Raw genomic sequence first — 16,043 nt, 5'->3', positions numbered from 1 at the left:
CACATTTGAGACTCCGTGGGAGTGTGGGACAGCAGAGTTAGTACCTTCAGAGAGGATGCTTTAGTCAATAAATTCGGTTTTCTTCCATTACTTTTTAATCACCCATTAACACATGGATCATTCTCATTTTTAAAATCCAAACGATATAGCAGATTAGAGTATTAAAAAGTAACAATTCTTCAGTAGTGACATCCCACCCTGATCCTGCTTCTTCCTGGGGGTGGGTAACCACTGTTCCCCTAGTGGTATATACCTCTTGCTGAAGCTTTTCCTGGTATGTTTACAGTCCTGGGAACACACAGGAGACTAAGACATATCCTGTTTTCTAGGGACTTACATTCTGGAAGGACAGACAGACAAGAAAACAAAGCACAAGAGAGAGTGGGGACTGGTAGGAAGAGGCATCTAATAAGAGGAAGCACATGCAATTTCTGACTTTACCTGTGAGGAAGGTGGCAGAGGGATTCTGGTGCCAAGTCAGGAGCTAGACCAGTGGTTCTCAAAGTGTGGTCCTCGGACCAGCAGCAGCTGCACCTGGAAGCTTTGCTAGAAATGAAATTCTCAGGCCCACCTGGAACTCTAAGTCAGAAGCTCTAGAATGGTGGGGAGGGGGTGGGGGAGCAGCTTGAGTTTTGTCAAGCCCTCCAGTGGATTCTGATAGACCCTGAAGCTTGAGAACCACAGTCCTAGAAGAACTATTGCCCTCTAAAATCATTTCCTCAGACTCCCTGTCCTCCTGCCTGTAAATCGAGATGGAGGGACCCGGCCGGAGCGGCTGTGGAGCTGCCCAGGGGAGACGTGCTGAAGGCTGTGAGCGCGGTGCAGAGCCAGCTGAGTGGAGCACTGAAAGGCACAGGGCAGCCCAATGGGTGAGGGGGAGGGGAGGAGTCATTGTACCCATTTTCCCTCCGGGCCTGACCTTATCCTGGGAGACTTGTCTCAGCCTCTTCCCTTTGCTTAAGGAAACTGCCGCTGCAGACTGCTTAACTGATACCTCTGGGGGACTTTGCAAAGTGCACACACCATCCATTATGAATGAGCCCATTTCTTGTGCAGATCAGGTGGGAGTCGGGACAGATTAGCCCTGGTAATGGAGTTAAAGTCAAGCTATTTGTTTGCAAGATTATTCGGAAGTCAGAGTCCCTTCCTGTAGCTCTGTCTGTTGGGAACGGAGCGGGGGATGTTTCCTTGGTTAAAAACATGTGTTGTGTGCGTGCCTGCCTGGGTTCATTCATGCGAGTACATGTGTATTTTTGCATAGACATTTTTAGGAGAGAAAGAGGAATACAAATGTCTTGTTCCAGAGCCTGAGACCCTGACTTGGTACAGTCATGGCTGGGACCCTTCAGCCTCCCCGCTTCCATCCCTGCCCAACCCAGGACCCAGTTCTGGCCCTGCCCCCAGCCTGATGGGCAGTGAGTAGGAAGTTCTGCTACTTTCTCAATATGAACTAACAGTTTCTTCTTTCAAAGGTCACCTATTCCTGGATTCCCAAATGTTACAATCACAAAACGACCATCATCTCCCATTAAGACAACTTGGATCCTTCAAAGTCACCCACCGGCGGCGGCGGGCGTGGGGATGGGGGTTGAATCGCTAGAAAGGTAGTGCAGTGAGAGCTGGAGTGCTTACCTTTGTCCCCACAGTCACCTTCCCTTGAGGGTCTCCCAGTAATTACCATGGGACAGTTAGCTAAGACCTTGCAGGAAACTCAGGGATATAATAGGAAGAAAAGAAATACAGAGAATCTCATGCAACTGGCCCATTTGGTTCACAAGGCTCTCCTCCTCTGGGGTGGTCTGGCCCCTTTCCATCCCCACTCCCTGCCTGCCTCGTGGTGTGGGCACCACTTTGATTCCTACTGCAGAGAACTCCTGCATGGGCAAGAGCCCTTTTGTGACTGAGACCCAGGAGGACAAGACCTGGAGATAGACTGATGTTACTTCTGGCTGTCTAGGAACTGCCTTCAGCATTCCAGGTCTCTAACCAAGGACTCTACTCTTCTAGGTATGACTGAAAAGGATGTAAGGACATTCTCTTTAGGAGAAACCTTACTCCTTCCCCTTGAGGATGGAGGGTGTGGTCCCAACAGGCACTAACGCCTCCAATCATATCCCAGTAAACCTAAATCGACTCCCAAGATTTATCTGTATCTCTGTTTACTTATAAACAGAGAATCAAGGGCCATTACCCTGGAGCTATGCCCACACCCCTGTTTGGTCCCAGATAGTGAACACTGACCTTTACCAGGCTTCTAACACTTTCCTCTACTTTGAACCTATGCCCAGAGATGTATCTGGTCCTGCCCTCCTCCCTCCCTCTCTTCCCTTCTCCCCTGCTGGTGGCTGGGTCTTTTTCCCTGTCCTGGGCCCACAGTCTCCCTTCCCAACTGAGGTGAAATATCCTATACCTCAGCTGTGATAGGAGAAGCTGCACTGCAGGTTTCCAGAAAGACTTGTGAGAATCTATAGCAAAAATGGGCCTCAGCTCATACAGCATAGAGCCCAGGAGTGGGCTTCAGATGCCAGCAGCAAGGCAGGCCCCAAGGAGGATGGTCCGAGGGCCCAGACTCATGCTGCTTCTTCCTGGGAGATCCAAGGTTTCAGGTAAGAACATGCTGTTCCCCACTGGGGAAGGTATCCCTGCCTTTGTTTAAAATCCTCTATGGCTCCCATGCCTACTGTGGATAAAGTCCAGACAGCTCAGTCCAGTCACATGTCCTTTAGGACCTTGCCCCTCCCTGGACACCGGGTCTGTCCATTTCCAAGTCCTCCCCCATGACCCTTGGCTGGTCCCACACTACCCTCTGCCTGGTGACCTATGGCCTATCTGGCAAGATGCAGCTCAAGTGTGACCTCCTCGGGGACCCCCTCTCTGAGTGCCCCACCCAGAGGGCTTCCTTACTTTCTCCTCTGTGTTCTCCCAGCCCTACATTTTCCCTATTTCTCCCACAGGACTTCTCACACCTTCGGTAATGATTTGTCTAAGAGCCAAACTCCCACGGCGGGCTGTGGTCCCCCAGGGTGGGTGGGGGGATTCCTGCACATCTTTGTCTCCCCAGTGCCCACACAGTGGAGGTCACATGGGAGATGCCAACTGGACAAGGAACTGCATGAGGCTCAGCTTGAGCCCTAGCTAGGAAAGCTCACAGAGCTCAGAGGACTGTGGATTCCCCAGGGATGCAGCACTCTACAATGACAGCCATCTTCTCCTCCGAGCAGGACCCACTTTCATCACCAGAATGCCTTTTTCCTCCCAAAATGCTAAAACAGAAACTGTGGGGGAAGGAGGCACGTGGAAGCTCACTAGATGACTTTCTTCATTGTCTGTAAGCCAGGTGTCCCTGGAGGGTCAGGGCCCACTCTCTACTCTTCCCACCTGCCAGATGGCTCCTTTGGAATTGGCAAGTCTAATTTTATAGCCAGAAGGAGGCTGCAAGGATGGAAAACTCCTGCCTTGGGGACTTTAATCCCCTTGTATCTTGCAGGATCAGGCTCCTTCCCCATAGAGCAGGGCAGATCCGTGGCCATCTTCAGGCATGGGCAGAAGAGGCTGTTGCCTACAGTGTGATTGAAGGATGGAGGCTGTTTCAAAGAGTGCCAACACCCTCCATTTCCCTTGAATCCATCTCTCCCCACTGACTATAATGCTGTTCCAAGGCCTGTCATTAGCACTTCACTCTTTGGTACCTGGATATGAATAGACTGTAGAATTCAGACGTCCCTGAGAGAGATAACAACTTAAGTAATTATCAATAAATTCTTCATGGAAAGTTACATTAACAGATGATGAGAACTGTCTTGGCTTAAGCTGCCATAAGAAAATACCATAGACTGAGTGGTTTGAACACCAGGGATTTATTTTACCACTGTTCTGGAGGTTGGAAATCTGAGATCAGGATGTCAACATGGTCAGAGTTTAGCAAGGGGTCTCTTCCTGGCTTGCAGTTGAAGTCTTCTTCCTATGTGCTCACAAAGTAGAGAGAGAGAGAGAGAGTTCTGGTGTCTTTTCCTCTTCTCATAAGGGCACTAATCCCATCATGAGGACCCCACCCTCATGACATCATCTAAATCTAATTTCCCTAAGGTCCTATCTCCAAATACCATCACAATGGGGGTTATGGCTTCTGCATATGAATTTTGGAAGGGGAGCACAATTCAGTCCAACTCAAGGACAATGCCCTGCAAGAACAAAGGGATTTACCTAAGGCTCCTGACCACAATAACAGGGCAGGTTCCTTATTTGTGCATAGTGCATCATATCCTGAAAACAGGGCCATGTGTATGGTTGTTCAGGTTGTGTGCTGCACAACCCTAGTGGTTACCAGTCACATAAGAGATGTTGTAGATTTGAAAGTTTAATATGGCCATTTTATGGCAGGTGGCTCTAATGTGTCTTATTCTAGAGAAATCAGGACATTAGGATAACTAGTCAATGGATGGCAATGAAATGTCCTGAGGAAGGGTTTCTTTTTTCTCATCTACACAAAGGCAATGTATAAGCTAGATGGGCTCTTCTGTAAAGTCTCCTTTTGAAATTCTATCTCAAGATAACTCTGTGATTAGGTATTCTGGGTCCATTTTACTGGTGAGAAGATAGATATGGGCAGGATCAAGGTAATTCGGTAGATAAGGAAGGAACTAGCGACCTGCGAAGCAAGTGCAAAACAGAGCCCTTTCCTACTGTGTTTTGGCCACTGTAGACGTGGGTCCTGTGTCTGGTTCCATCACCTTCCATGAAGATGTTCCTACTGATGGTGCTGTGCCAGGCATCCACTCCCCAGCTCAGTGCCCCTGGGAGCTTTGTTTCCTTCTGGCCACACAAGAGCCACCTGGCTCGGGAGGAAGGTGTGCTGAAAGCGGCCATCCCCAGCCCCAACTTATCCTGATGGTGGAGCTCAGAAAAGGAGGAAGTCCCTTTGGAACCTGGGGATTTCCCTTGTTGGAATCTGGGAGGTGGAGTAAGGGGAGAGGAGAGCCCCCAGAGTGGTCTCTCAGTTAAGGTCTAGCTAAAGCACCCGTGCAGAGATACGCGGAGAAATGAATGGGAGCCTCTACCTCAAACCTCAGGTAGGGGAATCCTCGGGTTCTCTTTGGAAAACAGAAATTAATTAATAAAGAATAGCATAGACTTGAAGGGCTTAGAACTTTTGTCTATCAAACTTGTGAATGAATTTTTTTAATTGAGGTATGATATACATAAAGTATACGGAACATAAATGTACAACTTGATGAATTCTTATCTGTGTAGAGACCTGCAAAATCACCACCCCTATCAAGATATCTAGTTTTTGAGCCTCCCAGGCTTCCTGATGCTCCTTTCCAGTCTCTACCCACCCCAGAGATAACCACTAGTCTGGTCCCCGTCACCAACATTAGCTTTCCCTCTTCTTGAACTTCATATAAGTGAGTGTACATAGTATGTTCTTTTTTGTGCCTGGCTTCTTTTACTCAACAAAATATCTGTGAGATTCATCCATGCTGTTGCAGGTAAAAATAGTCCATTCTTTTTTTTTTTTTTTTTTTTTTGAGATGGAATTTCGCTTTTGTCTCCCAGGCTGGAGTGCAATGGCATGACCTTGGCTCACTGCAACCTCTGTCTCCCAGGTTCAAGCAATTCTCCTGCCTCAGCCTCCCGAGTAGCTGGGATTACAGGCACACACCAGCACACTTGTTATTGTTTGAGACAGGGTCTCGCTCTGTGACCCAGGTTGGAGTGCAGTGGCATAGTCTCAGCTTACTGCAGCCTCAAGCTCCCAGAGTCAAGCAATTCTCTCATCTCAGCCTCCCGAGTAGCTGGAACTACATGCAAGCACCATCACACTCAGCTAATTTTTGTATTTTTAGTAGAGACAGGGTTTTGCCATGTTGGCCAGGCATGGTCTCGAACTCCTGACCTCAGGTGATCCACCCACCTCTGCCTCCCAAAATAGTGTGTTCTTTTTCCTTGCTGTGTGGTATTCCATGTATGAATATGCCACAAATTATTTATTCATTCTATCGTGGATAGATATTGACTTGTTTCCAGTCTGGGGCCATTAGGAATAAAGTTGGTGTGAACATTCTCATGCATGTTTTTCCATGGCCATAAGCCATCATTTCTTTAGAGTAAATACACAGCAGTGGAGTTGCTGACGCTCAGAAATGGTTTAACAGTGTGGTTAGATTATCTATAGAGCTGAGCTGATACGGAGTGGTCAGGAAGGCTTATTTCAAGTGCCCACTCCAACACTGTGTAACCTTGGGTAACTCACTTTCCCTTTCTGAGCCTTAGTATTCTTCACTAGTAAAATGGGTCTAAGAATCTATCTCTTGGCTGTGTGTGGTGGCTTGTGCCTGTAATAACAGCACTTTGGGAGGGCAAGTCAGGTGGATCACTTGAACCTAGGAGTTTGAGACCAGACTGGCAAACATGGCAAAACTCTGTCTGTACTAAAAATACAAAAGTTAGCTGGGTGTGATGGTGCTTGCATGTAGTTTCCAGCTACTTGGGAGGCTGAGGCGGGAGAATTGCTTGAGTCCAGGAGCTTGAGGCTGCAGTAAGCTGAGATTGTGCCACTGCACTCCAACCTGGGTCACAGAGCGAGACTCTGTGTCAAACAACAACAAAAAAGATTAATATCTCTCAGGTGATCAACAGGGGAGACAAGCCTTGTTGAGTGCCTTCGACAGTACCTGGCACACTTAAGAAAACGATAGTCCCTGTCTACTTTCCTTCTCCATTCATATTTCACTTGACCAAGCCCAGCCTCTCCTCAAGAAAAGGGTGGCTTAAAATCTATATCTGTGCTCATCACCCATAAGCTGGTGAGGCTCTGTAGGTGAGGAACCTCATGGTGAGGACCTTCAAAGCTGTCCCTGTGCTAGAACAATCAGCCCTCTGTGGTGGACGTGCATGGTTCATTCTGCCCAGAACAGTATTCCTCATCTTCCTAAATGCACGTGGTTCTGATGAGAGCTGCTAACCACTGGTGCCCCACCCCTGTTCCATACCCCAACTCCAGCCACAGTGATCAGCCCAGGATGGCTCACATGATGCAGGCCTGGCGAATTAGACCCTTTCCCTAGAATTTTCAAGCATGAGCTCAGAAGAGAGAGCCCTCTTCTGCCTGGCCAGAAAGTTTCCAGACGGATGTGTGTTCAGAACTGGTCATTGATCAGTTTCTCAACAACTCCGACCCGTCTACCTACAATGTGGAGAAAAATGGTGAGATGAGACTTCACACAGGGAAAAGCTGGGAAGTAGAGGAGAGAGAGGGAAAGAGGCAAAGCTTCTGACAGTTGTGTCTGTGGCTCCCGGTATTCTTTGCTGGCCTTCATCGTTATTTGGTTTCACGAGACAGTAAATCTCTCATTCTATTTAAGCTACCTTGAGTTAGATTTCTGTCAGCTGCTCCCATGACAGTTCTGACAAATATATCCTATACGGAGGGTTTAAACCAAAGCCCTCGCAGGTATTCTCCTCGCCTTTCTCAAGCTACAGGTGTAACAGCTCTCTGCTTATGAAGTAGAGGCCAGGGGTCACATATTAGGCACACAGCAGGTGTGCACCCAGCCCTGTTGTGGGCTCTGGGTGTATGGAAGGCAGGTGCATGGCCTGGGCACTGACCTTGAGCTTTGCTGCATCCGTGTACAATTTCTTATAACTGCTTTCTGATTTATGCTTCCTTCCTTGGCATGGTATTGATGAATGGAAGATTTGAAAGATTCTCTACAGCCATCTATTAACATGCCCTCAGGTAATTCAGGAAAGAAATGGTGTTCTGTTTTCAAGTGATTGAACTCCAGCCACATTTTATTTTCGGTAGCATGCCCAGATACCTAAGCAGCCACTCTGGCCTGAGCTTGGAAGTGGATGTGTTGGATGCAGGGAGATCAGCCCTGCTTGACTGCTGCCTTCCTAGGTGGTCCCTGAAAACTATAAAATTGTGTTACTAGCAGTTTTAATCCAGGGCAGGTGAGGAGCGCGAGAGGGAGTCAGACACATTGACTCTGACGCTAAGGCCCAAATAGGATTGAGGAAGGAGGGTTCTGTTCATTCCTGCTCTGGTCACCAAGGGACACCCTAATGGATGATTAGACCAGCTGCCTGGCATGGCTCCTGTGAGAGGGCTGCCCGGACACCAGCTGTTATGGATTACATCACTTGGCTCCAATTATTTGCTTCTCCTGGTACTCATGCCCTTTGCTGTGTAACTTTGCCACCATTATGTCACCTGGTGGGGTGATATACTCCATCTCTCGACTCTGGGTTTGCCATGTGACTGGCTTTGGCCAAGGAGATATTTGTGGGTAAAATACAACTGAGGCTTGAAAAGGTGCTTTCTTGAACCACTGACCTTGCCATGAGAATATGCCCAGTACAGCCTGTTGGTGGATGAGAGAACATGGAGCAGAGCCAAGTTTCTCAGTCCCGCTGGCCAAGGGTAGCTTGCAGCAGCCGATTGCTAGCCCACCTCCAGGCTCCAGGCATATGAGCAAACCTGGCTGGGATCAGAAGAACCATACAGCTAAGCCTCACCTAAATCACTGACCTACTGTGTAAATGTTCATGGTTTAAAGCCACTGAGTTTTGGGATGGTTTCTTAGATAGCATTATTGTGACAATAGATAGCAAATACAACAGCTCTAATGTAGAGATTGTCAAACCACACATTTGCAAACTAACCAGGTAGAAAAGAATGCTGAACTACTGAGAAAGCTGAGTTCATTATTTCCAGGAAACAGATTTTTGGAGAATTGCTTCTTAAGGCCTACAATAACTTAAGGTAGATGTTAAGCCATTTTCAGGTTGAGGAACATACTTACTTTAAGAAAAAAGATAAAATAAACTTGTAATTTGCTTATGGAGATAGCACTGAGAGTTACTAAATGGTTTAGAAAGAACTTTAGTTGTTAGTCATATGGAATATTTTTCTTGCCAACAGGTACAAACCCAGGCACAATTTTTCTTTTTTTATGAAAATTTTTTTGTTTCCTTTCATTTATTTACCTCCCTCTTTGAACACAGGTGCCCACTCTTTTAAGGCTGCTTGGGGTACCTCGCATAAAAAAGAAGGTAGTTAAGAAAACTAACTTAGGTTAAAATGTGGCAAACTTTTACACATTGGAACACTGGAACCAGAGTAGAATATAGAGCAAATGCTTCTTACAAAATCGTTTTGTTTTTTTCTTTTTTCTTTTCGATAAGGTCTAATTCTGTTGCCCAGGCTGGAATGCAATGGCACAATCATAGCTCTCTGCAGCCTAGAACTCCTGAGCTCAAGTGATCCTCCCACCCCAGCCTCCCAAGTAGCTAGGGCTACAGGCACATGCCATCATGCTTAGCTAGCTACTTTTTAAAATTTTTTGTAGAGATGGGGTCCTAAAATACTTGCAATAGTAAAGGAAAGGAAAAGTGGGCTTCAGGGGAACTGGAAAAAAATCTATGCTGGCCATGGTGGCATGTCCTTAAAGATTCATATTTAATCTAATAAACCCATGTGAAATTTGCCAGTGATTCTGCCTTGATGATGTCACCAGGAGCCTTGCAGAAGCAAACACAAATCTTTTCTGAGGAATATACTCTAAAGGCAGATCTCAAAGAATTTTCACAGATAAAATGCTGACAGGGCACAAGCTCACAGTTTAAAATCCCCAAACCCACAGGGAAACAAGCCACCATGAGTAAGAGTAACAAAAAATGTTTAAAAAATAGGAAGCATTGTAATAGTTTGTTACCCAGCATATTAGGGTTATTTAGAGAAACAAAACCAAAAGGATATATATAGATATACAAGAGGAGATTTATTATGAGAATTGACTGATGTGATTGTGGAGGCCAAGGAGCCCTACAAAGACGTCTGCAAGCTGGAGAACCAGGAAGGAGGTAATGTAATTTACTACAAGGCTGAAGAACTCAGGATGGGGTGGGATGGGGAGGACGGGTGTTAGTCCTTGAGTCTAAAGAAGCAGAACCAGGAGCTCCAATGTCCATGAGCAGAAGATGGATGTCTCAGCTCATGAAGCAGGGGTAGCCTGGGGGGAGTTTGCCTTTCCTCCACCTTTTTGTTCTATTTTGGGCCTTCAATGGATTAAATGATGCCCCTGCAAAATGGTGAGGGCAGATCTTCTTTACTCCGTCTATAGATTCAAGGGCTAATCTATTCTGGAAACACCCTCACAGACACAGAAAGAAAGAATGTTTACCCGCTATCTGGGCAGCCCTTAACCCAGTCAAGTTGATGCATAAATTTAACCATCACACCGAAAGTAGTATGAAAGTAGTATGTTTTATATGTTTTAAAATTAAAAGGGGACTCAAAGTGTGTCAGATCTATGAAAAACAATAAAAATGGACTGGATAATTTGCAAAAGAACTAACTATAAGTTTTATAACAAAAAATAATTGATGTAATACACTCAATGAAAAGGAGAAATAATAGCTTTCTTGGTGAAGCAAAAATATGTGAGCTGGAAGATAGCTTGGAATTGGCCCCACTGCCTAGGAAACTGGTCCCTGGAATTCAGAGTCAGTCTGGAGGCTGAGTGTTGCTGGGAGGATGGCTGGCAGCTGGGCCCAGGCCAGCAGCGCCTTGTGACATGCAGGGAGATGGGCAGATGGAAAAGCACCAGCCATTCTTCTTTCTGTATCAGCGAGGGGCAGGTATTGTGGGGACAGAGAAGTTGGGAGAGGTCTGGCCTGGCAGATAGAGCCCAGCAATAAAATAAGGGTATGTCAGAGAAGATGACCCAGAATCACACCAGCAGACACAGCTGGTGTTCTGCTTATCTACTGCTATGTGAGAAGCCACCCCAAATCATAGGGGCTTAAAACAACAATAATCATTTATTTTGTTCAGGAATCTGCAGTTTGGGCAGGAGTTGGTGGGGACAGCTTGCCTCTGCTTTACATAGCATTAGCTGAGTGACTCAACTTGGGGCTGGAAGATCACGTTCAAAGTGACTCACTTGACTGCCAAGTCATTGCTGGCTGTCAGCTTGGAACTTGATGGGCCCTCAGTTTATCTCCACATGGGTCTCTCCAAAGGCTAACTGGGCTTCCTCACAACATAGCGGCCAAGTTCCCAAAGAGAAAGGCAGGAGTGCATGACACTTGTATTAGCGTCAGAAGCTACATTTTGTCACTCTGGCTACATTTTCTGGGAAAGGCAGTCACAAAGATCTGTCCAGATTCAGAGAGGGAGTGTGAACGTTCTAAAGATCTTGCTGTACCATCTTTGGAAAACACAATTTGCTAAAGGTGATGCCAATCCAGGATCAAGTGATGGTTGGAGACCTAGATAAGTAGTCAATCAAGCTGTCATCCCTGAGCTGGGAATCAGTGGCAGAATTACAGTCCCTACTCAGGGGAGCTGACGAAGAGCAAGGCCAAGGCTGAAAGTCGGGTTTTTAGCAGATGGTATAACACAGTGGTCAAGACCAGAGACTCAGGGCCAGAGAGCCTGTGTTTGAATCCTGGCTTCACCAATTAATAGTTTATAATCTTGGGCAAGAAACTTAAAACTCTCTTTGCCTCAGTTACCCCATCTATTAAATGCGATAACAACCATACCTATCCTATAGAGTTATTGTAAGAATTTGGCAAGTTACTATAGGTAAAGAGCTCAGAACAATGCCTGGCTTGTGGCAAGGGCTGTGGGAGGGTAAACTAATATTGTTAATAGGCTCCTAATCCTTTCCTATGAAATAACCTAATAAGGGACCAAGTTGCCAAATGGTGTATCAGAGCTCAGAAGCGAGACAACCTTCCAGTCGTGGGAACTGGTACACACAGTCTAACCCCTCCAAAGCCTGCCTACCTCCCATCATCATGGATCCTGGCACCAACATTAGGGCAGGCGGAGCCCCTCCCTGGGGTGGGAGGGGGTCTGAAGAGAGAAAGGAGGTAGGGCCTGACCAGGAATCCTTGTTGAAATGAGGGCGGTGTCCTTGGAGCAGAGTGATTTGCCACACAGCTCTGGCCTGGAGGTCCTGCCAGGCTTAGAGGCAATACCAAGTCCAAACACTATAAAATTATCTGCGATGTTGTTTGAGCAGTAAAAGTGGTGAAGAGACCTGAGGCTACTTAGATACAGAACAACTGTTTTCTCCTTAATGAGCCACCATACACAGCGTTTAATTAAAACTGCAGGAGCATCCTGAGAACTTGGACCGAGGAGCGTGGAAGTTATGGTGGCAGTCATCGTGTGTCAGGGCTGGGGTGACTCCCTGAGACTGGACACAGTCACATCCTCCTCCCTGAACTCCTTTCATGTAGATCCCATGTCTACTACCATGTCTCCTGGTTCCCGGTGAACTGTCTTAATCCTTTTCCCTCTCGCCATCATTCAAGAGCACCCGGTGAATAGTCACACTCCACTAGCTTCAAATATTTACGGGCAACATAGAAAAATTACTTTAGTTTCCTGAGCCTCAGCTTCCCCATCTGGAAAGTGAGGATAAGGATTCCTTCTTCATGGAGCTGTTGCGGAGATCAAATAAGATACACGCAGGAGTGGCCTGACTTTCACCCACTTACACCCCTGGCATTCCTGACCAGAAGGATTGAAACCAATCTTGATGCACTGATCTTGATTCCTGACCAGAAGGATTGAAATCGATCTTGATCCGCTGATCTTGACTCCTGACCAGGAGGATTGAAACAAATCTTGATCCACTGATCTTGACTCCTGACCAGGAGGATTGAAACCAATCTGGATCCACTGATCTTGATTCCTGACCAGAAGGATTGAAACCAATCTTGATGCACTGATCTTGATTCCTGACCAGAAGGATTGAAATCGATCTTGATCCGCTGATCTTGACTCCTGACCAGGAGAATTGAAACAAATCTTGATCCACTGATCTTGATTCCTGACCAGGAGGATTGAAACCGATCTTGATCCACTGATCTTAATTCCTGACCAGGAGGATTGAAACCGATTTTGCATTTGTTATCCAAGCCATGTCCTGTGAGATGCTCCTTGGATAAGTGGTTCCAAATTCAGATAGGTTTGGGAAATGTTGTGCCCTGCATATACCCCTCCCCACTGGGGGCTGCCATGCACATGGTCATTTTAAAGAGTCTAAGAAGTCCTGATAGAAAAAATTCTGCTTTGCTGAACCCAGTGTTTTCTGAAATTTCTCACCATGGAAACTTTATTTTATGTGTATTTTTCTTTATTTGTTTCACCCATTAGCATCATTGGGACCATCTCTGGAAAACACAGGGGTGGCATAAATCACATGTGCAAAGTTGTGCCATCTCTCTGAACTCATTTCTCATCTAAAAATGAGGATAATCAATGCCCACCTTGCAGGGTGCCATGAAGATCAGAGGTAGTGAACACAAAACACCCAGCCCAGGGCCTGGCAATCAGTGGGAGGGCAACATGCATGGACACTGGGATGAGGCAGGGAGGACGCAGATGCAAGGAATGACACCATGGGATGCAGATGCTAAAGGCGAGGACCAAGGGCAGGGTCTTGACCACCAAGGGCAAGACCACCACAGGCCGGTGGGGGCCAAACCAGCAGATTTGAGACCTGGAGTCTGATATAGTTTGGATGTGTGTCCCCTCCAAATCTCATGTTGAAAAGTGATGGGACCTAGTGGGAGGTGTTTGGGTCATAGGGGAGGATCCATTATGAATGGCTTGGTGTCATCCTTGCAGTAATGAATGAGTTCCCACTTTATTAGTTCACTCCAAGAGCTGGTTGTCAAAAGGAGGCTGGCACCTCCTCCCCTCTGTCTTGCTCCCTCTCTCTCCATGTGACACACCTGCTCCTCCTTTGCCTTCTGCCATGAGTAAAAGCTTCCTGAGACCTCACCAGAAGCTGAGCAGATGCCTGTGCCATTCTTGTACAGCCTGCAGAACCATGAGCTAAATAAATCTCCTTTATTTATAAATTACCAAGCTTCAGGTGTTCCTTTAGTAATGCAAAACAGACTAACACAGGGTCCTTACATCTCCCAGACGAGCATGGGGATTGTTCCCAGTATTACAGGCAAACTCAGTCTGCGGGAGAGGGATCTGTGGCCTTGCCAGGAGCTGGGAGGACTGCTGGGCACAGGGAGAGATTGAGGAGTCATTTACCAACCCCTTCACTTCACAAATATTTATTGAACACTTGCTAACTGTGAGGTAATCCTAGCTACACAGGATACATCAGTGAAAAAAAACACAGCTCCTGCTTTCCTGGAGCTTACACGAACAACAAATAAGCAAACTAATAATATTTTAGATGATAAGTGCTACAAAAAATAAGGCAGGGTTAAGGAGAGTGGTGGTGCTATTTTACACAGGGTGGTCAGGGAAAAGCCCTTTTGAGGAGGTGATGTGAGCAGAAAGTGGCAAGAGGTAAGTGATTACACTCATGACCCATCATCATTATCATCACATCATCACCATTATCATCACATCATCACCATCACCATCATCATCAAACCTCCTCCATCATCCCTTGGAGTAAGTGCCTCTCAGGACAGGCTTTCCCAGGGTGTAGTTCCAACAATGACCACGAGGTGGAGGAGTGACTCTAACCCCGTCCAGGGGCTGGGCGTTGGTTGACTATCTCAAGCCCCCAGCCCTAGATCCTGTCAAGGTTGAGAGTCGTCTCAGGCCATCTGCAGCCATAGGAATCCCATGTAGTTGGGTTGCCAGCTTGACTGTGTGCGGGGGCTTTGGCTCTTTGCCACCAGTGAGGTGCGAGGAAGGGGAGGGAGAGCCACAAGGAACATCTGGAGAAGCCGAGCCAGGGAAGGGCACACAGCCCCCTGCACAGGGTCCAGGGGTCCTGGGGCTGCGGTGGGCGTGGCCACCAAGAGAGCGGCTCCAGGCCAGGCTTGTTCTGTCGGTGACTGAAGGGTCTTTAAGGCATTCTTCTGCCTTCAGCTACGGGAAGCAGGTGAGGAAGCAGAATTGGAGAAGGAGTGAGGGGGTTGAATAGCCAGGCTGGAGTGAGGAACAGCCTATCTTCGTGTGTTTTACGCCTTGCTGGCACTCCTATAAATTTGTCTTAATGTTGGGAGAGGGCAGCTGTGAGCCTGCTGCCTGCCCCCTCTGGAGAGAAGGGGACCCTCTCGGGCTGCCGCCCCTGTTATCCCCTGGAAGCTGGCTACAGGACCAGCGTCCAGGAGATAACAGCCCAGACCCCCTGTTTGGGGTCTTTTCTGAAAAGGGCCAAGCCTGGCTTGCTCTGCTTCGCAGCCTCATCTTGAAGATTGATTATCTTCCCTGGCTCCTTCCAGCAAGGCGGAATGGTGGGGTTTCTAATTTCGCTGGCGTTTTGCTCCTTGATATCATGTGAACAGATGCTGTAAGGTTTTCTCTGAAGACTCTTAGGTAGGGAGGGAGGGAGAGCCTCCTGGTGAGGTTCTTTGACTCTGTCCGGGAGGAGGAAATCCATTTCTCATTGCTCTGTGATTTCACACTAATCTGCGAATGCATGCACTGATGACTTAGGGTGTGGTTCTACCCCTGCCCCGACTTTCCTCTTCTGCAAATGGGGTGAATAATGCTTACCTTGTGGAGTCATCTGCATGACTCAGTAGCTTAGCACTTGTAACACAGCACCTGGGACCAAATCAGGGCTCTATAAATCGTAACTACTTTCATGTGTAGGAAGTGCAGGTCCTTCTTCATACGTCTATAATATTGTGTATTCCACAGAACAATCCCATTTGGTGCCTTTCTTTTTTCTTATTTTATTAATTTTTTTCACGTAAAATATCTGAAAACAATCTTCATCACAACAGAGCCAAGCACTGTATCAATACTGGAAGGAAAATAGGAATGTCTCACCCCCTCATAAACACACAGACACACACACACACACACACCCTAGAGTTAACTACTGGTATAAGTTTGGTATTTATCTTTCCAGACTTTTGTTTCACCAATACAGTTCTTGGGGCTGTAAAGCTTAGTTCCATGTCAGTGAGCATTAGGTGGAGATAACCCTCTGAAGAAGCTTATTGGGGAGTGTGTAGACACAACTCTTTCTCTTGGCACCACTTAGTTCCATATCAACCTCAATGTGTGAATTGCAAATGAGCTTTAC

At 46.9% G+C, this 16,043-nt stretch overlaps 3 annotated features.

Annotated features, from left to right (window-relative positions):
• Nucleotides 796-1,318: an enhancer, noted in NCBI's record as "H3K4me1 hESC enhancer chr6:40289806-40290328 (GRCh37/hg19 assembly coordinates)". NCBI's record gives its function as "activates a minimal SCP1, AML or CMV promoter by ChIP-STARR-seq in naive H9 embryonic stem cells {active_cell/tissue: H9 hESC(naive)}" and the evidence as "EXISTENCE:reporter gene assay evidence [ECO:0000049][PMID:30033119]".
• Nucleotides 14,227-14,793: an enhancer, noted in NCBI's record as "H3K4me1 hESC enhancer chr6:40276331-40276897 (GRCh37/hg19 assembly coordinates)". NCBI's record gives its function as "activates a minimal SCP1, AML or CMV promoter by ChIP-STARR-seq in primed H9 embryonic stem cells {active_cell/tissue: H9 hESC(primed)}" and the evidence as "EXISTENCE:reporter gene assay evidence [ECO:0000049][PMID:30033119]".
• Nucleotides 14,794-15,361: an enhancer, noted in NCBI's record as "H3K4me1 hESC enhancer chr6:40275763-40276330 (GRCh37/hg19 assembly coordinates)". NCBI's record gives its function as "activates a minimal SCP1, AML or CMV promoter by ChIP-STARR-seq in primed H9 embryonic stem cells {active_cell/tissue: H9 hESC(primed)}" and the evidence as "EXISTENCE:reporter gene assay evidence [ECO:0000049][PMID:30033119]".

Source organism: Homo sapiens, chromosome 6 (assembly GCF_000001405.40).
Source record: "Homo sapiens chromosome 6, GRCh38.p14 Primary Assembly".
NCBI lineage: Eukaryota > Metazoa > Chordata > Mammalia > Primates > Hominidae > Homo > Homo sapiens.
The sequence above is the reverse complement of the archived record's forward strand: the minus strand, read 5'-3'. Positions and strand labels throughout refer to the sequence as shown.